Below are 25727 nucleotides of genomic sequence, written 5' to 3' on the forward strand. Positions count from 1 at the left end.
ATGAGGAGCCATTTTCCTAGCACTTTTCTAAAATTTAACCTAGGGAGCTTGTTCATGCTCAATTCTTGTTTGGGATCGCTGCAGGTAAGGGATTTGTGGAACTGTCTTGGGGTTCCTCTTACCCAGTAATTCATGATCTACTATATTCTGACTTCTGCCTGCCTTCTGGCCTTCCCACTCTGAGATGTCCACCCAGTCTCACGTAGGACAGGAGAACTCAATATTTTTAATGCTGTTTTATGCTCATCATTTGTTTTTTCTTTTCAGTCAGTTTTAGTGTCTCACTTTCTATCTGTTCTTAAGTTTTCATTTTTCTGCAACTGTGACAGGTAGAAGGTGGATTTCACAATTCTAACCTGGGTGAATGGATGGCTTCTGTTAATTTATTATAAGAATAACTCAATCCGTGAGGAAGATGAGAACCATGAGCCAAGATTTTATTGGGAAAAAACTATGATTCAAAAGAGAAAGTCCAGAGGATCCAGTCTTTCCTTTTTTGCAAGTCCAAAAGATAAAATACATTTTTCCATTGGGATGTCGATCACTGGTTTGGCTTCCTTGGCTAGGCCTCTTAGGAGAGAAGACAGTGATTTATTTTTTTAACTTTTTCTTTTACATTAATTTTAGGAAGTTGCAAAAATGATACAGCAAGTCTTGTATATCTCTCACCCAGTTTCCTCTAATATTAACATCTTACGTAACCATGATAAAATTATGAAAATCAGGAAATTGACCTTGCTGCAGGACTATTTTTTTTTTTTTTTTTTTTTGAGACGGAGTCTTGTTCTGTTGCCCACGCTAGAGTGCAGTGGTGCAATCGCGGCTCACTGCAACCTCCACCTCTCAGGTTCAAGCAATTCTCCTGCTTCAGCCTCCTGAGTAGCTGAGATTACAGGCACCCGCCACCACACCTGGCTAATTTTTGTATTTTTTAGTAGAGAAGAGGTTTCACTATCTTGGCCAGGCTGGTCTCCAATGCCTGACCTCATGATCCACCTGCCTCGGCCTCTCAAAGTGTTGGGATTACAGGTGTGAGCCACTGCACCTGGCCTGCTGCAGGACTATTAATCAAATTCCACATCTTGTTTGAATTTTGCCAGGTTTTTTTTTAATGAATATAGGATTTTTTCTGTTTCAGGATCTTGTCCAGCCCACATTTCATTTAGTTGCTATTTCTTCTTAATCTCAAAAATGTTACAATTTGTCAGACTTTCCTATCTTCATGACTTTGACACTTTTGAAGAGTATGGCCAGTTATTTTGTAGAATGGCCCTTAGTTTGAGTTTCTGACATTTCCTCATGATTAAGTTATTATTATTTTTTTTTGGCAAGGATACCATAGAAATGATGTTGCTTTTTCTCTGTGCATCACGTGAAAGGATTCCTTATATTGATATATCTTATTACTGATGATATTATCCTTGATTGCTTGGTTAAGGTGGAGCCTGCCAGGATTCTTCACTGTGAAGTTCTTATTTTTCATTTTGTAATTAAAGAAATTAGTAGTAAAGGATTTTGGCTGGGCGCAGTGGCTCATGCCTGTAATCCCCCCACCTTGGGAGGCTGAGGCAGGTGGACCACGAGGTCAAGAGATCGACACCATCCTGGCAAACATGGTGAAACCCTGTCTCTACTAAAAATACAAAAATTAGCTGGGTATGGTGGTGCGTGCCTGTAATCTCAGCTACTTGGGAGGCTGAGGCAGGAGAATTGCTTGAACTTGGGAGATGGAGGTTGTAGTGAGCCAAGACCCAGACTGGTGACAGAGTGAGACACCATCTCAAAAAAAAAAAAAAGTTTTTTTCCAGCCCTCAACTGAGAAACTGCTTTTGAATCACTGAAGTGAGAAGGTGTGTTCCTGTGGGTCTGTTTATGGAAGAAGGAGAAAGAATGGAGAGCAACACCTCAGTAATACCTGGTCTTCTTTTTGCTCTCTCTTCTGCCCTCTGCCTCCTGGGTTCAAGCAACTCTCCTGCCTCAGCCTCCCAAGTAGCTGGGATTACAGGTGTGTGCCAACACTCCTGGCTAATTTTTTGTATTTTTAGTAGAGACAGGGTTTCACCATGTTGGCCAGGCTGGTATTGAAGTCATGACCTGAGATGATCTGCCTGCCTCAGACTCCCAAAGTGCTGGGATTACAGGCATGTCACCACACCTGACTCCTGAAATAGCTTTTGTAGACTCTTGGTGTAATAAAAAGAGGGGAACTCTTTTCTTAAGAATGCATTTCCAAGGTAGACAGGGATATATTTTATGTGATTTGTAAAATTCCTTATGTGGAAAACAATTATTCTATCACAAATCCATCACTAATCTGTTCCTGTGAGAACTTTTCCAGTCTCAGGATAGCGAGAACTCACTACTATGTGAAAGGCACCCATTCATTTATGAGAGATACACCCATATGATCCAAACACTTCCCACTAGGCCCCACCCCCCAACACCACCACACTGGAGATCAAATTTCAACATGAGTTTTGGTGGGGACAAACCATATCCAATCATAGCAATCACCTTTTTAGGGAACTTGACTTTTGAAGCTTTCTTAGTGTTTGAGAGTCATTGTTTGGCAAACTCTCTCAGAGAAAGTTTGCGTCACTGTTTCAAACTCCACTGAACATGTGAGTAAGTTTCTGATATCTTCTTGCATTCTTATGTCCAAGATCAGAGAAGAATACCTTCTAATATCTAGGAAATTTCATCTCCAGTTCAACCTGCACATCTTAACAATCGTACTCATCTTGTAAGACCTTGCTGCTCATGGTGTGGCCTGCAAACCAGCAGCAAGACCATCACCTGGGGCTTACTAGAAATGCCATATCTCAGACCCCAGCAGACCTTCTGAATCAGAGCCTGCATTTTGACAAGTTGACTCATGTGCACCTTCACGTTCGAGGAACACTTTTAAAGTGTTTACAATGGCTCTGCCTTCTTGATACCTGAATGAATTGAGCTTATCAAAAATTTGATAAAGGCAGCTTCATGATGATGGTGGCCAGGAAGCTCTTTCAGCTCTTAGTGGACATTGTGGAGATGAAGAACATAACAGGAATTATGGTAGCACAGGATAAGTTGATTAATTTTGAAGCCCACTAGTTGTTTTGGAAGGTGGGGGGGACCCTGGATATATTAGCTTTCTAGGGTTTTATTGACAGTGAGAGAAAGCCCTATGACACAGAGCCATCTCATCTACTTTTTTGAACTGCTGCAGATTGGGCTTAGGTGTTTCAAGTTTGCCCAAAATAAATGATTCTAAAATCAATTTACCTAACGGCCAGTTTACTTAATGGTAATTTCCCCTAATAGTACTATTAACATAAAAATTCATGTTTGTGAAATTTATAAGAATTCACATGTGATAGGAAGGTAAATTGGTTTTTGTCAAATTTGGTTTCAGATAGAGCTGCTTTAGGCAAATGTTCACTTACATATATTAGCTCTAGGCAAATAGATTTTATAGATGAATTCACCTGATCCAGGTGTCCTCTCCTGAGGAGGGAACAGGGAATTCAGCGTAGGGGGTGGGAATGTTTAGTCATTATTTCCACTAGCAGTGATACTGGGTGTGGAGGAGGCTCCTGTAATAGCAAGTGGGCTGGGTGGGAGCTTGCTACACTGGTCTTACTAATGGCCCCCTGAGATATTTACTACATAGCCCTCACCTGTTTCAGTGTCTCACTATGAATGACCGTTACCACTTAGGCCCATCTGGGCTGCATCTTCTAAGCTCATTCCTAAGCACTGTTCTTCTTAGTGACCGTACACTTTTATGAGACTCTTCACAATGCTCATGTTTAGCCTGGGCTTTTCATGCTGGGTTGCTTTATCCCAGTGTGACTTAAACTGAACCAGGCTTTGTCACAGAACCATGTTCTGTTCTCTCGCGGTACTTATCCGTTTTCAATTTTACATTTATTAGTGTGATTATTTTGTTAACATCTGTCTCCCACTGGATTGTAAGCTCTGTGAACACATGGATCATATCTGTTTTTGTTCATCATTGTGTCTTTAGAACCTAGCAAAGCACCTAGCAAATTGTAGAGACTTAATATTTTTGAAATAAATGAATGAATACCTTAATGAACCTCTGGCTTTTATTAGCAGTAATAAATTACATATGGCACATCTCACAGATGATGGTGATACATCAAACTGCCTTGACATAGAAGCTGAGAATCACTGTAGAAAATAAAAGTTTCTTATCAAGGAGGCAATTCAGGAAAATTAACATTTAAATAATGATGACAATAATAATAGCTGACATTTATTGAGTTCTTATAGCATGCTAGTTATGATAAGTACTTTACCATAAAATTTATCTTACTATATTTATTGAGAGCTCAAGTCTTCCTAACAGAAGCAGCCACTAGAACACGTTTCCTACAACCCCCACTCTCATCCTCCAGTACTGTGGAGCCGTCAGCACCAGGAACAAAGGAGGGTTCCATGTTGGTTCTGTTAAGGGTAGTTCATTTCCAGCTCATGGTGGCTGGCCTCATATCCCACTGAACGCTCTGCTAATGATGTCAGCCTTCCCAGTGACTCTTATGGGTAGTGGAAATTTCAGTTATGGGACAGAGTGGTCTGTGTTGATTCTTATAGTTCTTTCTTCCAAGAGGGCCTGGCTTAGGCATCATTGTCCTAGTTTTGTGTCTTTGGTCATCATTTAACTTCTCTCTGACTTGCTTTCTTCACTAATTAAATGAAGATGATAATAGTACCTCCTTCTAGAGGGTTGTTCCAAGAATTTACTTCAATATTGTATATAAAGTAATAACTAAAGTGGTATGTGGTAAGACTTGATAAATGTTAGCCATTATTATTATTATTATTATTTAAATGGTGCTTTTACTGAATTATCTCCTTGATGAGTAACTTGTTTTCTATAAGAGTGACTGTGAACTGCAATGTCACAACCCTTTGTTGTATCACAATCAGCACTAAGGCATGCCACCTGTAATTTGTTACTGTTACTACAAACCAGATATTACTATATTTATTCATTTATTCCAAAAATATTTATTAAGTCACTACAAGTATGCTAAGTGTTATGCTAGGCTCTGAAGATAACATGGTGAGAAAAACAGATATAGTCCATGTGTTCCTAAAGCTTATCCAGTGGGAGACAGATGTTAACAAAATAATGAGAAAAATATTTAAGTACAGAGATAGCTGTGAAGGAAAGGAGCATATTCTTATTTAAAAAAACCCTATGTGGTGGTGGGGAGTGCAAGTCAATGGACTTCCTGGGGAGGTGACATTTAAAGTGAGAGCTGAATGAGTAGAAGTTAGCTAGGGAAATAATGGGATAAGAGCCTTCCAGGTAGTTGGAGCAAGTGCATTGTAGTGGGAGGGATCGTGGTATGTTTGAAGACTTGAAAGAACGTTGGTGTGTAGAGGGCAAGATAGAGAGTGAGAAAGCTGACACTGGAAAGATAGGCAGGGGCTAAAGCATGTAGTTTCCTGAAGCGCATGCCTAAGACTTCTAGGCTTGAGCTCAATAGTAATAAGAAGACACTGATGGATTTTAAGCTTGGAAGTGGGGGTGCTTGGAAGAAGTCGATAATATGATTGGATTCTTGTTTTAAAAAGGTAACTTTGTCTGTAGAATAGATTGGAATGGGCCGGCGTGGATTCGGTGAGACCTGATAGGAATCTATATAGTTGCTAGTAGTAGATGTTGGTGGATAAGATAAGGATGATAGCTGTGAAGGAGATTTGGAATGGATAAATGTGGTAGATACTTTGGAACAGAAGCGATAGAACTTGCTGATGGTGTGCACATCAGGTGCTGGGGAGAGAAAGGTGTCAAAGACAATGCTTAGGTTTTTAGCTTCTGTTCTGATATAGGATATAATGGATGAGGCCCAGGTTTTGGGGAAAGAATTAGGAGTTATGTGTTGCGAGTATTGAGTTTGGGGTATTCCGGGAGAGATGTTGAGTAGGTAGTTGGTTATGCAAGTAAGCAGTTCAGAAGACAGGTCTAGACTGGAGATATAAATTTGTGATTTATTTATGTAAAAAAGCACCCTCCTGGCTAACATGGTGAAACCCCATCTCTACTAAACATACAAAAAAATTAGCTGGGTGTGGTGGCGGGCACCTGTAGTCCCAGCTACTAGGGAGGCTGAGGCAGGAGAATGGTGTGAACCCAGGAGGCAGAGTTTGCAGTGAGCTGAGATCACGCCACTGAACTCCAGCCTGGGCAACAGAGAGACTCCGTCTCAAAAAAAAAAACAAAAAACAAACAAAAAAAACCCACCCTAACTTATTAGAGTGGAGTCAGGGTCCATAGAGCCACTGATATGATGCACTTTCTGAGAAGTGGAGAAAGGACTGGAGTTAGAGGTAAGAAAACAAATTTTGCATAACTGGTGACACCCGTGGGAGTGTTTGAACATTACCTGCCTATCAGTCCTAACATAAAATGGTTTGAGAACTGCTAGGCTGTAGGAAAAGGGCCATATGTCAGTGGTTGGTTCTATGAATCTAGCCCCAACTTACCTTTCTGTTGCTTCACAACTCCTCTGATCTGTTTGTGTACATCGTCAGTGCTGTTCATACCTCTTCTTTCTTTGTTGCCTGAGCATGCCAGACACATTTCTTCCTCCATGTTTTTACATTTTCCCCACTCCTGAAGCACTTCTCTTACCCATCTCACTCCAGTTTAGGTCATTCTTCTACATCTAGCTTCTTTTTGAAACGTTCTCACATCACCGTTCAAGATTGGATCTCCTCTCCTCGTTTTAAAGGTCAAGGATGTATTGTTGTCTATCTTTCCGTAAGTTTTTATTTTATCGAGTGACATGTAAATTCTTTGACAAGAGGCATACTTTGTATTAAGTAAGTGCTTGTTGCTTACTTATCTTTACACTTAGTGCCTTCTTTGCATATATGATTTTCAATCTTGCTTTCACAGTATGTAAGCCTGGCTTAGCCTTGAGAAAATGGGCCTTTACCTAGTTGTAATTTGAATTTGTGTTGTAGATAAGTGAGTGATTTTAATTTTGAGTGGGAGAATATGTATCAAATTGAAAACAGTAAAAATAAAGAAAATGCTCTGTGTATAAGAAAGTTTTCTTATTACATTAATTGAAAAAAGTATGGAACAGTGAGAATACTCTGCTACCATTTGTGTTAAAGAGGTGGGACAAAATAGTATGTTTATACTTGCTTTCATAGCATAAGAAACCTTTGGAAAAAACGTTCTTTTCTTCCTAAAAAATGATGCTTGCACAATGGGACATTCGTATTCAAAAGAATTAACTGGACAAAGACCCTATGCCTTTTACATAAATTAACTCAAAATAGATTATGTACTTTACTGTAAAATGCAAAACTGTAAAAATCCTAAAAGAAAACATAGGAGAAAATCTACATAACTTTCGGTTCAGTGATGAGCTTTTAGGTACAACATGAATAGTATGATCCATGGAAGAAAAAGTTGTTAAGTTAGATTTTTATTAAACCTTAAGCCTTCTGCTCTACCAGAAAGATTATTAAGAGATTAAAAAAACAAGTTATAGATTGGGAGAAATATTTGAAAAACACACATTTGAGGAAGGATTTATATCCAACATATATAAGAACAATTGAAACTCAACAATAAGTAAACTCAACAATAAGTAAACAAACCAATTTTTAAAAATAGGCAAAATATCTGAATAGACATCTTACTAAAGAAGATATGTGAATAGGAAATAAGCATATTACAATGCTCAATATCATTTATCATTAGGGAAATGCTAATTAAAACAATGATATACCATTACACACCAATTAGAATGGGTAAAATCCAAAAAAAAAAAAAAACCCCAACAATACCAATTGCTGGTGGGAATGAATAGCAACAGGAATCCTTGTTTATTGCTGGTCTGAGTGTAATGTAGTGCGGCCCCTTTGGAAGACAGTTTGGCAGTTTCTTACAAAGCTAAACATAGTCTTATCACAAAATCAAGGAATTGCACTTCTAGGTATTTACTCAGTTGATTTGAAAATGTATTTTCACAAAAAATCCTGCAAACAGGAAGCAACCAAGTCCTTCAATAAGTAAATGGATAAACTGTGGTACATGTATATGATGAAGTATTACTCAGCTATAAAAAAAAACAACGCATGATTAAGCCATGCAAAGACACAGGTGAAACTTTTTTTTTTATGGCTGATCCTATTTGGATGAATCTTTAATGCATGTTACTAAGTGAAAGAACCCAATCTGAAAAGGCTGAATACTGTATCATTCCATTTATATGACACTCTGGAAAAAGCCAAAAAAAAGATTAAAAAAAGATAACAAACAGATTAATGATTTCCAGGGCTTTGGGAGTTAGGGGAGAGCTAAATAGGTGAAAAACAGAGGAATTTTTTAGGCAGTGGAACTATTGGGTGTAATTCTGTAATGGTGGACACATGACACTATGCATATGTCAAAAGCCACAGAACCTTACAGCACAGAGAGTAAACCTCAATGTGTACATATTTAAAAAAATCATTTAGGAAGTTAAGAGATCCCAGGATGGAATTCAGAATGTAACAGAATATCTAACTGTATTATAAATGTGTGAAATAACCTCAACAACGGGGATTGGGGAAATAGGAGCTGACTTCCGGAACTTTGGAAATTAATGGCGTATGTAGGACTAAAGGCGGAAGGAACTGTATATAGACACTTCACTTGAGTTGATAAAGTTGTTTACCTGAGGGTATTGGTTAATGATATTAAAACCACTATACGTGTATACAGAAAGTGAATAATTAATTAAGTAAATTGATGGTAGATCATGGGAGATTACAGATAAGCATGAGACAGAGACTAGAATTATCTATGTGATAACAGATTAGAGTTTAAGACATCAGTATGAATTCATGTTTAGCTTACTTTAGATACAAATAGATACATATAGAAATATTTATAGAAATATTTATAGATATGTGTATATATACTGATTGTTATACACACACATATATTTCTTTGTTCTGTTGGCTGAGAGAGCTCAGAAGCAGCAATACCTTGTAGCCATGAGCACACATAGTGGCCAAATCTTGATTTCGCATACCATTCTCCAGTAGAAGGAACAAGCCTTCCTTGGAGAGATGGTTGATTTTAGGATTGGGTCAGGAAATATATAAGATGAGCCTTGAGCATCTTGTAGTACTAGAAAGTAAGGAAATGCTCAAAACAAAATAAAACAAAACAAGAAACATGATGGGAGTAAATCAAAGAAACTAGCTGAAAAACGTCCAACAGCTAAAGCTGGAACAATTTGAGCAAAAAAATAAACAGTGTTGGATTGTAACCCAAAGTAAAAAATGATAACCCATGAGTCTACACTGATATAATAAGTGTTTGAATAAATAAATAAATGAGAATAGATAAATCTCCCATGCAGTAAAATTCTAAGTAATTTATGTAAAATGAATCTTTTCATTTCAATATTCCATCCTCAAGGAGGTGGAATATAACTCCCCACTCCTTAAGTGTGAGCTCCACAGGGTGTCTTCCTTCCAAAGAGGACAGTATAAAACTGGTAGGGGGAAGAGTATTTTTATAACAGAGAAAACTGACCAACACTTAGCCAGGGAGATGAACCCTGATAGTAACATCAATAGTGATGTCATGTAGTAGAATGCATTCTTAGATACGATACTGTGAGAATTGCACATTACTTCTATGGCATTCCTCCCCAAAAGTGACAACCCTAGTATAATTATGAGAAAAATTAGACAAATCCCAATTGTCAGATATTTTACCAAATATCTGGCCAGTACTCCTCAAAACCGTCAAGGTCATAAAAAAACAAGGCAAGTCTGAACTGGCACAGCTATAAGGAGCCTGAGGAGGCATGACAAACAAATGTATCGTAGCATCCTAGATAAGAGTGTGGAACCTAAAAAGGGTATTAGGTGAAAACTAAGAAAATCTAAATAAAATATAGACTTGGTTAATAATCTATTAATATTGGTTCTTAATAGGGCAGACTGGGTGTGGGCTATGTGGAAACTCTATTTTTGTAATTTTCTGCAAATATAAAACTATTGTAAAAGAGTTTATCATAAAAAACTTTGTACAAATACATGGGACGCCAACACTAGTTGCCTATGAGGGTTGTTGGATACTGAGAAGACTGGGTACAGGATGGGAGGGAAATTTTTCACTGAGTACCTTTATAGATATATCAGTTTATTTCTCAACAATAGAAATAAAAAAATTTAGAAAACTGAAGATTATATTTCTTGTTTGGGAACAATAATATTTCTTCTTTAAGCATTTTAGATAAAATTTAGAAACAAGTATAGAAAGTGCTACATATGTTTTGGTCATTAGTACAATTACCATTACCACTACAACTACAACCACCACTATATATTTAGTGCCTATTTCCTAAATCTTGCTATTCATAAACATCTTAATTTTGAGTTCCTGGAGATCCAAAGTTATACCTTAGTCTTAAGATGCAGTTGTGCAATTCCAAGCTTAGTGCCTTCGGCTTGGTTGCTTAATAAATGTTTTTATTTGACTTTATTTGCAGGCCTTGACAATCAAAACCAAATGATTCCTCTCCCCTTGTCCTGCTAAATTAGCTTATTTTTTTTTTAAAGTGTATTCTGCCACTAATTTTATTTTTCTATCTTAACTTGCCTGAAGTTTCATGTATTTTTCCTGGTTCTCTAGGGAATTTAGAAGCCAGCCTTTACTTTGTTAAATACAGCATGGCTAATACCATGTGGATTTTTAAAGAGTGTAATAGAACAGTTTTGAATGGGCATAAAGAGCCTGAATTTTACATTTCATTTAACAGTGAGTGTTTTATTTTCAATAACAAAGGCAGTTTGTAATTGCTGTCACGATTAATCTCTTGCTATATGTTTGCTAAGAGGATTGAGTACAGAACTAATATGTAACTTTACAACTACAAGTAAAAATCACCAGGTCTAGTCTAAACAAGAGAAAGGGAGAGACAGAAAAGCACTTCTTTCTAAGAAAAGGCAGAATGCGTATGCTTTCAGCAGCATCACACCTTTGTAAGGCAGTTAATTTTCATGTATATAGAAAGATGAAGGGAAATCATAATCAGTGTTGGATACTAGGCAGTTTGTAAGGCAATTTACAAACGTATGTCATTTTATTCTCAAAAGAAATCTGTGAAGTAGATGTTTATTTTCAACTAGATGAAGAAAAGAAGGCTTAGGGAAATGCTGTGTCCTGCCCACATTCACACATGGATTGAATGGCAGAGGGGAGGGATTGATCACAAGATATCTGGGTTCTGAAGCCTCTTTACATCTGGCATATTTTTTTCTGGTATATATTCTGTTTCCATATTGCTCTGAATAAAGGAAACAGAAGTTGAGAGTACCAGAAGTTTGTCTGGGAAAATCAGGACTTTAGTTTAGTCAAATAGCTCTGTAGCCTTAAAGGGCACATGGACCTGGAACCCAAAGATATCTGATTTGTGAAAGAACCACCAACGGGGCCACTTCCATTTGTGTAAACAAGAGGCTTGAGGCCAAAATGTTTGGGTTTGATACAAGAAAAATAATAGATTAATGAGAAAGGTATCAAAGTAGTCCTAAGGTATTTATTTCTTTAAGTAGCTTCTGAAAACCATGTATTTTAAAACATATAATGGTTTATTTATATTAAATTACATTTTTGGTAGAATTCCATTTTTATAAGTTAAAAGAAAATGTATAGTTATATATCTGTGGTGCTATTTATAAGCAGAAAATCAACATTTTGAGATTTGGTTATCTGGCCAATGACCCAGGCATTTAGTAGAAACATACTTAAGTTATAGTTTTTATTTTTAAAGGTATAATAAAAATCTGTATACCTGAAGTTAGAGTGTTCCAGTTTCTATTGATGTATAAAAAAAACTACCCCAAAACTTTTGCTCACAGTTTCTGTGGATCAGGAATTTGGACAGAGCCCAGAAAAGATGGCTTATCTCTATTCTACCACTTTTGTGGCTTCAGTGAGAAGAGTGGACAGCTGGGCAGGCCAGCTGGAGGTGTTTTCACTCATAAAGCTGGTGTTTATAATGGCTGTTGGCTGGGATCCCAGTTGGGGTTGTCAACTAAAGCACCTACATGCCACCTCCCCAGTACGGTCTGGACTTCCTCACAGCAAGGTGGCCTCAGGGTAGTTGGACTTCTTACAAGGTGACTTAGGGATTAAAGCACAAGTGTTCTGGTAAACAAGACAGAAACTGCATTTTTACATTTATGGAATTCACCAAGCATTACTTTTGCCCTTAAAGTACTTACAAGTTCATCCAGGTTCAAGGGGAGGAGACACAGTTCCCACCTTTCAAGGTAAGGAATGTGAAATTCGCATTGTAGAAGAGTATGCCAGATGGGAGATATTGTGTCTCAAAATACAGTTTTCCCAACAGAATATTAAGCCATGTAATTCAGGTTATCTGTGATACACAGGACAGGAGATGACAGTGTTCATGCCTGCTGCCATTTCTTTTTACTTATAGACTAGCAATAACTTGTGCCCATTGTTACTTTTCAGCACTTCTTCTTTTTGCCTTTCTTCGGTTTCATGTTTCTGTACCTCTCTTTACTGACTCAAGGTAGACTAGTAATCTCTAAATTTCACTGGTTATTATCAGTAAAAGTTTATTTTTGTTTACTTCCCAGTTCAATGTTAATCTGCGTGAGGAAAGGTATCTCTGCTCCATGAAGTCATTTATAGACCCAGACTTTTTCCACCATATGGTGCCACCACCCAATAAGGCCTCAGAATTCTCCACTGGACGTCTGCTACTTGTGTGGATAAGGCACATCCTCTCTTAACTGTTTTGGCCTGGACATAATACACAGCACCTCTGCTCATGTTTTTTTTTTTTTTTTTTGGTGACAGCTACTCATGTGGTCCCTCCTAGATTCAAGGGAACTGGGGAATATATTTTAGTATGTGCCCAGTGCCCAGGGAGAAGGCGGGGTATAGATATTGGCTACATCTGCTACACTTACCTCTCCTTCCTCTCTCCTCCAGGCTGATAAGGAGTCAGGAGCCTGAATGCTGACATAATATCAGGAATAGAATGAAACGAATTGACCAATCAGATGCAAATTAGCATAAGAATTCTAGGAATTTAGACCTGAGCTGGACTTTAAAAATTATTTAGTTCAATAGTTTAAAACTATTTTTGGAGGTGGATCTCTTTTAGCCAGAGGAAATCTTACAGGAAACTCCAATTTATGTAATAGATGGCAGTGAAGTTGCTCTGGTTAAAAAAGGTTATAGGCCTCATCTTTTCCCTCTGCCATACACTCTAAGAGCCTTTTGAGGAATCCTAGGGCTTTGCGGATCAGATATAATTAGTTTATTTAAGACACATTAAAAAACTGAGACACAGAGGGGCAGGGACATGATGTGCCAAAAATTACATGGTTTGTCTGGCAGGTTTAAGATTGCAACTCAAGCTTCAGTAGTCCCACTACTATTTACTTAAAAGCTGTGGTACTGCCTCTTTTTCAGGACACATAGCCATTGAGACCCCTGGTCTAAGGTGGGGCACGGTATACCTGCCTTGTGTTGTTGGCTTAATCTCTTTATTAGCCAAACAGTGGACTTAGGACCAGGAAAGAGACAGGAGCTTCAGCATGGGCTGGGTGCGGTGGCTCATGCCTCTAATCCCAGCAGTTTGGGAGGCCGAGGTGGGCGGATCACTTGAGGTCAGGAGTTCGAGACCAGCCTGGCCAAAATGGTGAAACCCTGTCTCTACTAAAAATACAAAAATTAACCAGGCATGGTGGTGGGGTGCCTGTAATCCCAGCTACTCAGGAGGCTGAGCCAGAAGAATGGCTTGAACATGGGAGGTGGAGGTTGCAGTGAGCCAAGATGGTGCCACTACAGCCTGGGCAACAGAGTGAGACTCCGTTTAAAAAAAAAAAAAAAGAGCTTCAGCATGAACAACTGTAGCATTTCTTTCCAGAGTGATGAGATTAGCATAAAGAATGAGGGCTGGCACCTGGGTCTGCAGTAGTCTGACTTGGCAGCATACCTAGACTGAGGGCATCATGAGAACCATGAATGGAGGCTGCCTGAGTTCACTTGAACTGTTTTGTCCTCTGACTCTGATGTGATCATGCCACTGTACCTAGTGAGCCTGGAACTAGACTGCTTTTGTTTAAATCCTGAATCTGTTCTTATCTACCCATACAAAGTTGGGCAAGTTATTTAATCTTTCTGTACTTTGGTTTCATCTTTTATAAAATAGGGATGATAATAGTTGGTAATTTTTAAGGTTGTTACGAGGATTACATGAGTAAATATTTGCAGACTAGTGCCTGGCCCATAGTCACTACTATAGAAATATTTGTTAAAACAAGTAAAATATCTTACAGGTTTGTGGTAGGAATTATTTTGATATGAAATATACAGACCTAAAGGCAGTTCTCCTAGTAATGATTAGTACTCACTAAGTATTAGCTATTATTACATAAATAATGTTAGCTATATTGTTTTTGTTATCATAGTTATTATTATTGCCCATAAAAATAGAGTTACCCTTTATTGAGGTCTTACAAAATTGTAGGCACTATGCTGGGAAACTTATTTTTTTCATCATCTTTAGGATTTTCCAGGATTTGTGGAAATGATCTACCCAGGTACTCTCTCTCTATATGTGGTGGCTTATTCCTTTTATAGAAAGTAGCTGGACACCTGCCTGGGTTTCTCTCTATCTGGAGAGTCCTGCTAGGGGTACACGCTGGGAAAGGGTATCTTCTTGTTTCCCAAATCCATTTTGCTTTGACCTCCCCACCCAGACTCCTAGGAAGCAATGGTTTGTTCAGGGCCACAGAAAAATCATTGTTGGAATGTAAGCAGGTACTGCACTAACTCTGGAGCTCTTTGGGTGTGATATATTTCTCTGAATAGCTAGTATATATCCTTGTAGAATAACTGGAAAAGAGACCTTTTCTAAGAAATGTTTTACCTTTACTTGTGATTTAGTGCTGGATGCTATCTAAAATTAACTTTTACTGTTTTCACTCTTGTACACAGAAGCCACCTAATTCATCCAGCAATAATCACTTTAACATTTTGAATATATCTAGCCCTTCTGTTCTATATATAAAATATAATATATTTTATATATTATATAAATATAAAATTTTATATAAATATATGAATATAAAATTTTATTATAAATATATAAATATAAAATTATATTATATATTTTAATATTATGTATGTAATCTCAAAATAGGATACTTTGGTATCAATTTTGGGGAAAATGATAAAAATTTTAATAAAAATAACTTGATTGATCTTTATCTACCTATATTTTTAGAATTATTGTTCCTGAATTTATTTCCAGATCTACTAAGGAATTCAGATAGTCTCATGAAAATCGACTTCAGTTCATGATAATACTGATTGTACCTGATACCCAAGGGTGGACCTTTGAGGAATTATGCATGTTGATTCTGGGTAGGGTCTACCTTGCACTTAAGCAAAGGCCTGGGCTTACAGAATTCAGCTAAGTAAATACAGGTTGGAAAAGATTTGCCTTCATAACATTTTGTGTTCAAGGTCTTGGGGTGTTAGTTGATGGGAAAGTCAGTGTAGGCGTAGTTGTGCACAGCTCAGAGCAAAGCAGGTGATAGTGTCACTGTACTTTGCATTAGACCACATCTGTACAAGTGCCTTTATTCCTGGATGCTGTATTTAAGTGGAAAATTGATTCATTTGACCATGCCTAGCGCATGGTGACCAACATGGGGAAGGCTGCAAAGAGGAAGAAGGCAGAATCCTTGTCCAGGAGGGGCTCATAGTTTAGATGGAGATGGGAGTATAAAGGAAGGAGCCAGGGAAGCTTGGCTTGAAACAGAAGAGGGAATATCACTGCTGTTTTCCGATATTTGCAGGATGAGCAGACTTTTCTGGGAGCGAAGGCAGTTTGTTGGAACAACACACTTGGCTGAGGTCCAAGGCTAAGGGCTTGCAAAATCTTTTGCTTACAAAATCTGGCTTATAATTTTATCATTTATACAGCTGCCCTCCCCAGAGACTCTTGAAAAGACCCCAATACACCTGAGTCCTGAAGAATGAGGACTGGTGAGGGGTAGATTGCTCACTAGATCAGCCTACTGTCACTTCCAGTGTCCTCCTTCTACCTGGCAGCGCCACGTGGCTCCTATTCACTTGCTCGTAGCGTCAGACTTCTGCTCCCTTCATCAAGACCAGCTGGCCAGGAAGTAAGGCAACACCTGGCATACTACTATAGTGCTTCTTAAACACAGATGTAAACATAGAACATGAATCATCTGGGAGTTTTGTTGGAATACAGATTCTGCTGCAGTAGACCTTGGGGTTATCCCAATAATCTGAATTTCCACAGGTGATGCTGCTATTGGTGTTCTACAGACCACCCTGAGTCACAAGGTTCTACTAGAAAACATGAGTCTTCCCTCCAGGCTACAGCCAAATCCCATCAGGCCAAATGACTTTCTGCTCAGAGTTGCCTCACATCTTTATTTGTAGAGCATTACTGCCTGGAAATATTGCCTTATTTTCCTCCTAGCCCTCATGAAAGAATTTTATCCAGATGTCACTTAGCCATCCAGTGTTTTTATTATTGCTAAGGCTGCTTCAGCAGTTATCTGACATGTGTTTTCAAAAATATATCATCTTGATTTTCATCCAAGTTGCATGAGATGCAGCACTTTTTGAATATGTGCAGGATGTGGCCAGAAACTTTAGTCTAAGATAAAAGTATCATTTGCCTGACATTAGGACAGACTTCTTTTCTCCTAGCTATATATTTGTGATTACCCCAATGTAATCACTGACTCCAGTGCTTTATAAAGTGATCTTTAAGAGATCTGTTTATAATACATTGAACACTTGCTCAATGAGGCCACAACCCCAAGAATAATGATGAAATCTGGTTAAATGTATTTGCCTCCCTCTTTAATGATTCCAGCAGGTGACTTCTGTGAGTATTTCTAATTGTCATTGATTGAAGCCCTTTCAAGGTCATGTCCCTTCCCCAAGTAATTGCTTATTGGTCAAAGTAAAGTAATTGAGAGATTTCTCATGATGTGTGAATCCTGGTAGGATCTCAAATATAAGCTCGTGGTGCATTTCTATACAGGTGCTAAATGGTCTTGGGCAAGATACTTAATATCTTTGATCATCTATAAAATAGGGATAATGAAATCTACCTTAAAGAAATTAAAAAGATGATGTCTATGAAAGCACTTGCCATATTCCTGGCACATGACAATCATTCATTAAATGACTTTTCTTGCCTCCTCATTTGTTCCTTTTAGGCCATTTTTCACCCTTTTTTTGGGGGGGCCGTGGGGAGGGACATATTTTACTTCCTTCTTCACTAGTTCACAAAGCACCTTCAGACATGGGATATATATTTTAAACCCCTTTTTAGTTTTTCATTATGTGTTCAGTAAAGACATATTGAATGAATTAATGAATGGCCAATAGTCTGTAACATCTTCTTGACCTCTAAGTTCTCCGATTGTTTGATTCTTCAGTGTTCTAACAACTTAGAAGAAACTGGAGAATTCCCTTAAAATAAATGTCTTCTTTGTTAAAGCATTTCCTTTTGTGCAGTCTTATAAAGTATGTATTACATAAATTATTACTAATAAGTATGAACCTGGGCCTAGAAGCTGGCTGCTATGGTATAAATAACCTCTTTTAGTTTATGACCTTGGGCATGATTCTTTGTACTGGTGCAAATGAGGTGGGTCAGAGGCTGGTCTTGACTCTCTGCTTGCCCTTCACTGTTTACTTTGGAAAGATCTGTGAAAGATGAGCAAGAAATATGTATTTGTTCTTTGGCATGACTTTTGGGATTCAGGCACAATAGACGCTGAGTTTCCTGATATATTCATTTCATTCCTCATAGAAGATGCATTTTGTCTTTTAGATTAAATACCCTTTGGCTTGTGGGGTTAGCCAGCTCAGTGGATTAGAATAGAAGCAGCAGGCCCTTCCAAATCTAGGGGTTAAGCCTAGTTACCTGTCTAGGCTAATCGCTCTGGAGTTGACCATATGAATGAGTTGTTGGAGTTAGTGCCTGGTGAGGCTATCCTCACCACTTTGTCATCATGCCTCTGGGATGGGCAACAAACTGGCAGAAAGTGCATACACTGTCAAATTTAGATCTAAGTTTAAGTCTGGTTTGGGTATGTTTAATCCTTAATCTCAGTTTTTAAGTTTTTTAAAAAAGATAATACCAGTCTCAGGTTTTTTGAGTGATAAATTAGTATATGTGAAATACCTAGTGCAAGCCCTGGCAGTGAGATCAGGCCCAACGTTGATGACAATGACACATTTCAGAAGAGAGGCATAGGAAACAAAATAGTTTTGGCACCTGTGAAAGTACTAGCCCTGTTGTGTGCCTGAGGAGTGTCCCAAAGTTGCTTGTAGCATTTTATGACTGAAGTGCAGACCACAGTGGTAAGGCTAAGAATTTCTTATGGGTTTGAAAAACAGGATCATAATCCTGGAAAAGAAAAAACTTAATTGCATATTTCATTCTCTGATAATTTGAAATACTAATTCCTATGTGACTAGCTTCAACCTTTTCTCCCCTACTCATTATCTAGGAATTGTTATTCAATTATATCTTTTTGTCTACAGAGAAGAAAAAAGACTAATCTTTTCATTCTGACAATGTATTTCAATCCCTGATGTCCAACATGACTTCCATTTCCCTTTAATTCTTGAAAAGGTAAAGATAATAGTTCTGAAAATAACCATCAATAGATCCATTCCACATGAATGGCCTGTTTTAGACATTCATGGAATGAGGGTTCTGATTTGTACTTTGAAGTATTTAAGAAACACTGCACTGAGTTTTGCTAATTAGCTGTGGCTTGTTACCTCATGGTGGACCAATTGATCTCTGTTTCAGAGGCTCAAGATGTTGCCACGAGGGTTCTCAGACAATAGATTCATTGGGTGTCCTACAGTGAATTGACTTGAGGTCTTGGCTCTTTGTGCCATGTTTAGCTAATTTTAGATTGTGAGAGACCTGGTAGTAAGGGGTTGAGGGATTGATGATGGCTGTGATATCCAGAACTAAAATAAAACAAATGTTTGTTCCTTTACATACAGCTATTTTGAACTGGAGAGCAGTGGCCTGAGGGATGAGATTCGGTATCACTACATACACAATGGGAAGCCAAGGACAGAGGCACTTCCTTACCGCATGGCAGATGGACAATGGCACAAGGTTGCACTGTCAGTTAGCGCCTCTCATCTCCTGCTCCATGTCGACTGTAACAGGTATTTCTTTGTCTTTGAGTGTTGCTGATTCTGCCCTTGAAATCAAGCAATGGAAAAGGGGAAAAAATATCAAATTCCTTCAAGACTTGCCAGGAAACAAACACCAAGGGACCCTAATTGTAATTTAACCTACCAAATGGGACCTTAGGCATGCTGAAATGACCAACTGTAATATGATAAGAAAACAGTTCATTAAGATGAAACTGTATCCCGTGATTAGGAGCAAATGTACAAAAGGTTGATTGCAGATTGGGAAATAGTAAGTGCACCTCAGTGTGCTCCAGGCACTGGCTGGAATTCCATGGAGCTGTGATCACAGTTAACGGTGATGTATTGTTGTTGAGTTCGTTCCACTGGGAAGCGAATAAGCTTGTCTACCCTGGAATGAATCTGAGAAGCCTGTGCCACTGAAGCAGCTAATTCTATTTCACTTCATCAAGCTCACCTTTGCTTAAATATCTTTTCCAAATGGAGGCTTCTTAAAGAGGCTGTTCTCTGAGCCTTTTGGAATTGATGCCAGGTATTTTCTCCAGAGGAATGAGCCTTCCAGCTTGTCAGGGGATGGTGGGACCAGGGGGTTTCACAGGAGGTTTTGGGTTGGGGTGGGATGGAAATGTTGTCTCCCTTGTCTGTCACTGGAGCCAGGTTTAATGAAAATTGAAGAATGAGGGAGTCCATTGGTTTCTATTGGATCATTTATGGCTGGACAGCTGGATAATGGTGTTCAAGGGGAAAGTTTTTATCTCTCCATAACCCACTGAAGATCCTTATGGATAGTGACCCGAGTCCAATTACAGAGTTTTTTTTTGCATTCTGAGCAGTGCCCATGCATTGTTGATTCTCATTAATGATGCCATCAAAGTTAAAATGACTTTTCAGCCACACAAGGCTTGCTCCCTTGAACCCAGGATAAAGAACAGGCATATTGGGGATAGCCTCCCTTCCAAAAACCATCAAGAGGAGAGATATTCCAAGGTCAGTCAGCTTCAGACCGCATTTCTCATGAGGAGATGCTTGAATATGCCTGCCACTCTAGCTCTGCAGTCTCTTTTAGAAGAGTTGGAAGGGCAGGGAACTGTTGTCAGGCTCAAGGGAAGGTTTGCCATCTTGAGGTGAGTCTTGGTCCATTTTGATATGACCTATTTAAGGTGCTTTTTAGACTTCTGAAGAATTGTGGTTTCCACCAGATATAATAAATATGTCTGGACAGAGTTTCCATAGAAACCACTAGCTCCTTTGTACACTGCAGACTGGGGCTGGGCAGCCTGGATAAAGCCAATGCTTAGCTGCTATATCCATTTTCACTTTCAAGAGCTCATTGCCCCCTTCAATTCTCTAGAATTAAAGTGGCCTGTCCGGCAACACTCCTATGACCCACTGTGACCTACCACCCACATGCTGTCTAAATGGGATTGCAGAGGAAGAGCCCTGCTTGTCCTTCTAAGCCACAGGACAGAAAGAGGCCACAAAACCCTAGTTTCGTAATTTCCAACTTAAGAGTCCTGGAGATACTGCTGTTTTCTTGCTATGCAGTTTTTTGTTTCTTCCTTCTAAGAGTTTTACTCTGTTTCCTGACATTCTTCTCTCTGGAGCAGTTCTTAGGTGGTGCTTGGCCTTCAGTGCTCAGTCTACATTTGTGGTGGTTGTTGTTATTTACTCTGCATATCAATGGCAGCTCTTTGACCCTGCCTTCAAACTTTCATACTCTGTATGTCCTTCATGGAAACCATGACCTCTCTACCAGGAGAGTGAGAAGAGGATAGGAGATCTGTAGTTCACAGTATTCTTTAGAGTCATTGCCATTTATAAAGAATTGACTGAGGGTATTCCAAATATTCCTTCTGTTTTCTTAATATTTTTCATACTTTGGCTTGTGGCATAACATGTCCTTTATGTAAGATCTTGGAGGGAAAACTTATGAAGTTGCTGCTAGTTAATGATTCGTAGACTCTAAACACAAATACATTTTTCAGGTAGGTCAGGAGAAAAAATGGACCCAAAGACTGGTCATAAGAAAAGTAAATTTTGATTTTCATGTAGGAAAAGGCTAGAAACATGGTTCCAAAATCTGACTATACCTAAGAATTACCTGGGGAACATATTAAAAAAATGGATAACCAGGCTTTGCCTCTGACCTACTGGATTAGATTCCCCGAGGGCGGAACCTGAGAAGCAATATTTTTAACAAGCCCTCCATATAGGTTCCATGCGGGCAGTCTACCCTTGGTGAATGGACTGGCATTTCCAAACCACTGGTTTAGAAAGAGGGGAAGGAATTTGGTGGAGAGGCTGGGCTACAACAAATAAATGAAGTCGTGGAAGACCAGTTACCTGAAGGAGGGTAAGAAGGAGAAAAGGATTAAGGAGAGGGTAGTGTCTAATGCACGAAACAAACTTTACCTTCTTCACAAGTTTCTTCCCAGCCAGAACTTGCCAACTTTACAGTAGCAGAAGCTCTGTCCCATATATCAAGATGCTGGTTCTATCACTTTTAGTCTCAGCCACCCTCACAGAGAGTGAATTTCAGCTATCCATTACTACTTTGTGATTCTTATTTTTTGATCCCTGTTACTCTTAGAGTTTTTCTCAACCTCTCACCCAGTAGTGTTCTGCTGATTAGAGTATGAAAGGAGATGATGTTAGATAACATTTGATGTTGATTGTGCTAGGCACAGTGCTGAGTACTTTACATAGATTAACTTATTCCATACTCATTCTATTAGTTTTTCCTCTTTTTAAGATGAGGAAACTGAGGTTATATATTTGTCTGTAACCCTGCTACTAATAAATGGCAGCACCAGGATTTGGACCCAAGTTTGACCTATGAGTGTCTGCATCTAGCTACTACTAAGCTATTTAGCCCAATAGTGGGGACCATTGACACTTTATTTGGTACATGAGGGAAGGCCAAGATTCAATGTGAGCAGTTTGTTCCTTTCTAATATTTCCCTGCCACATGTCTTATATTGCTAATCCTGGGAGCTGCTTGGAAAGATGTGAAATCTAATTGATGGAACCCTTTACTTTGGTGCTGGAGAAGGGATATACATTTATTGAGCCTCTACTATAGGCCAGGTAATGTTCTAGTAATAGTATTCCTTAGGATAACCATATGGGGACAGTTTTACTAGATGCATTTTGCATATTTGGAAATAGAAAAGCTCAAGATAAATAACTAGGTGTCAATCACATAATATAATAAGCATATAACCCAAACTTTGAGTCTGAAACTATCTCCAAAACCTTAGTCTAACCCACCCTCCAGGTCACCTCCATAGTGTGCTAATGACATGTACTGCCAAAGACAAGGTCACAACCACACCAGGGAGTCTTCCCAAGGGAGAGATACTACAGAAGGTTCAGGGACCATGAGAACTCTAAAATCGAGAAGAAATTTCCCAGATAATTCCATTGCTCTGAGGAATATTAATGTGGCAGGATTTCGCACATTATTTTTTTAGGTCAGAATTGAGGAACAGCTTTTTCAGACCTAATTGTACAAATTGTCACAAGAAAAGCAAACGCTATTTTAGTTGGTAGTTCAACACTTTCTGCTTGCTACGGAGACACTTTTCTCCTTGTTTCAGCTGTTTAGCTGGGCTTAGTTAGAAGTTCCTGATGTGTGGATAGCAGATTACCTCAAGCTAGAAACATAGAAGGAACCATTCAGTTGGGTGGGGAGACTGATTATCTCCATTGCCTTGGGTTTTTCTCCGGCTACCTTTTATATTAAGAGTTGGCAACAAAGCCTGGAATGGAACCTGAAGAAACCTTCCTTAGATTCACCCTCTCCCTTCTCAGCTCACTTTACAGCCTGTCTCTATTACTCAAAGGACAGAATCCACCAACATCTGGGATTCAGTGCATAAGCAACCTTTCCCTTTCACAACAAAATGAATTTTATTTCCTTCTCTTTATTTGTAACTTTTAATTTTCATTCAGCCCATCAAATTTATTTATTGGGTACACTATCTCTGCCAGGCTGTGTAGGATACAAGGAAATAAGAGTCCTTGCCACCAGGAAGTTCTTGGCTTATTCATTTAGTCATTTTAACTTCGTTCTGAAACCACCAGAGCCCCTCACAGTGATTGGGCCTAGTCCCTGGGTATCAGAGGAAGCCTGGATGCAGACAGGAGCCCTGTAAGCAGGCTGATTTGATAACTCGCAATGGCAGCTGAACAGTGGAAAGAACTGGAAACAGTGAACTCCCAGCATCTTGGTCCTGAAGTGACAGTGGAGCTGAGCTCCTCAGCAGCTAAGAGATGGATGGCTTTTAATTCACCCAGCCTTTGGCCAGCACTTTTTGTAATATGCCGGCATCCCTACCCTGTGTTAACCTCCTTATGCCTCATTGCTGGAAAAATTCAGCTCTTAAGTGCAGTCTATCACATTTCAACTTAGCTCTTATTTTTTCAGACTTGTTCAAATGTGTATGGCACATACACACACATCTGCAGCCCGATTGTCACCTTGACAGAGAGTTAACAAGTGATTAGTCTAGACTAGACTAAACATACTTATCTTTTACTTTTAACACATGCTATTTATTATCCATAGAGCACATCCAATTTTTGCATACAACTGATCTTGAAAAGCATGCAGAATCCAAAACTAAACTTGCTACAAATCAATGAATGAGTCAGTAATTTAAGGTTTCTATCTAAAATTTCAGAGTAATTTCAGGATGTGAGCATCTGTTTATATGTGTAGACTTTTCATAATGAAATCTGTTGATATGGCATCTTCCTTCTAGAGAGCGCCACAACTACTTACCAACATATTATTTAACCTTGTATTTTTTGAGGTGGTTAAATCACAAGTATAATGCATGACATTGGTTTTATACAAGCATATCTGCTGTAGTATGCGGAGGGAAATTAAGAGATGACTATCAAAGGTCTCAGCTTTCAAGAGAGCCAGGCTGAGACTCTCAATCTCCTGGTTCTCCAACTGATATGTTCTTTGCTTCATAAACAGAAATACAAGAGCACAACTCATTATCAAAATTAATTAAAATAAAATTGGAAGCTAGCATATGCCTCATGTCAAACTAACAAAGCAGCTTCAGGTTGTCTAGGAAGAGATGGGAAGCAAGCTAGGAAGATAGGACATATTCATGTGTAAATTTAAGTAACAGCACAAGGTAAGAGATGTGGTAAGGCAGTCAGTATATGATGTATTGCTAGATTCCTGGTAGAGGCAATCAGGTCTGGGAGATCACAGTAGGGGAAGCTCCTGGGGGACTTGGAGTAACCTCTCAATTTCTTACCAGCCTAGGTGAAAATGCATGACAATCTCTACAGCTTTATAGTTTCACCATTATGTGATCTGAATCTGATTCTGTACCAGTCACATGAGTCAGGCTTAGAACAAGGTTTATCTCACAGGCATAACAGTGCCAATTCTAGTGTGGTGAGAGAAAACCATGTATGGGTAAGTAGTATCGAGTTGGTAGTGAGGGAAGGTCTGTAGGGAGAGACAGAGAAGGAAGTGTGGGAAAGGAGAGGAAAAGGAAAGATTTGTCTTCCATGTTTCATATTTGAAGCATTTGCGCTCCGTGGTTTAATCTAGATGGAAACATATTTTGGACCCTAGTCTTGGTTTTGCCATTTATAAAATGTGATTTTTATGTAACGATGCAGGAGTGTGAAAGCAAGAAATCTATGTCTAATTTTCTCATTCATTCATTCATTCACTCATTCATATGCCAGAAACTGCGCTTGCATCTGTAAAATGGCAGTAATATGAATTCTTCTACCATAGGGTTGTGGTAGGAATTTAGCTAGAGGGTATAGGCCAAATCCTCTGAAAATGTTAAGCTTCTGTATGAACATATAACATCATTAAGCACAACAGATGTATACCATCATATAGAGAAGGTTTTAATATATTGTACTGAAAATGGGTAACATTTAGTCAAATTTTTACCTCTGTAAAAATAGTGGCTTATATCCCATGGATTCAGGACATAATGTGTAATGTAGATTCACTGAACAATGTGAGATTTCTGAGGTTATTCTACTTTCCAGATCCTAAGCAAGGTTTGCCAGTAGTTTGTCTTTGAGTTCTCTGGTCTGTAGTGCAGCACAGTATTGCATGCTTTTTACACCAATAGAATCACTTTAAAAATTTGTAACTGAGGCAGAGTGGGGAAGGAAACACCTCCTCCTGTGTAAGATTTTTTGTTGATCCTGGCAGGGCTTTGAGAAAGTGACATGCCCACTTTCCCTTTTTATTCCTGTGAGGAGTGGTTCAGAAACTTACTCCCCACCACTCATGAGGCAAAATTATCATGGCTTTTATGAAAGGATGTAAAGTTTTGACTTTACAAATGAGGGAACTCATTTGCTCTAATTTTCTGGATGTCCTAAAGCCCACATGGATGAGCAAAATATGTACTATTTGCCTCTCTACTTTGAAAGTCTGGCTTTTTAGCTCAAAAATTCT

At 38.7% G+C, this 25727-nt stretch overlaps 1 protein-coding gene across 4 annotated transcripts in view; it reads left to right on the forward strand.

Annotated features, from left to right (window-relative positions):
- The window catches only part of NELL1 (neural EGFL like 1), a 906136-nt gene that overhangs the window by 158924 nt on the left and 721485 nt on the right, over window positions 1-25727 (forward strand). For 3 of the 4 annotated variants that reach the window (NM_001288713.1, NM_201551.2, NM_006157.5), the window contains one exon: window positions 19109-19279. The exons of the other annotated variant lie outside the window; for it this stretch is intronic. In NM_001288713.1, the coding sequence (NP_001275642.1) occupies window positions 19109-19279 (171 nt within the window). The remainder of the gene's footprint in view (window positions 1-19108; window positions 19280-25727) is intronic. 4 annotated transcript variants of the gene reach the window in all.

Source organism: Homo sapiens, chromosome 11, assembly GCF_000001405.40.
Source record: "Homo sapiens chromosome 11, GRCh38.p14 Primary Assembly".
In the NCBI taxonomy this organism is placed as follows: Eukaryota; Metazoa; Chordata; class Mammalia; order Primates; family Hominidae; genus Homo; species Homo sapiens.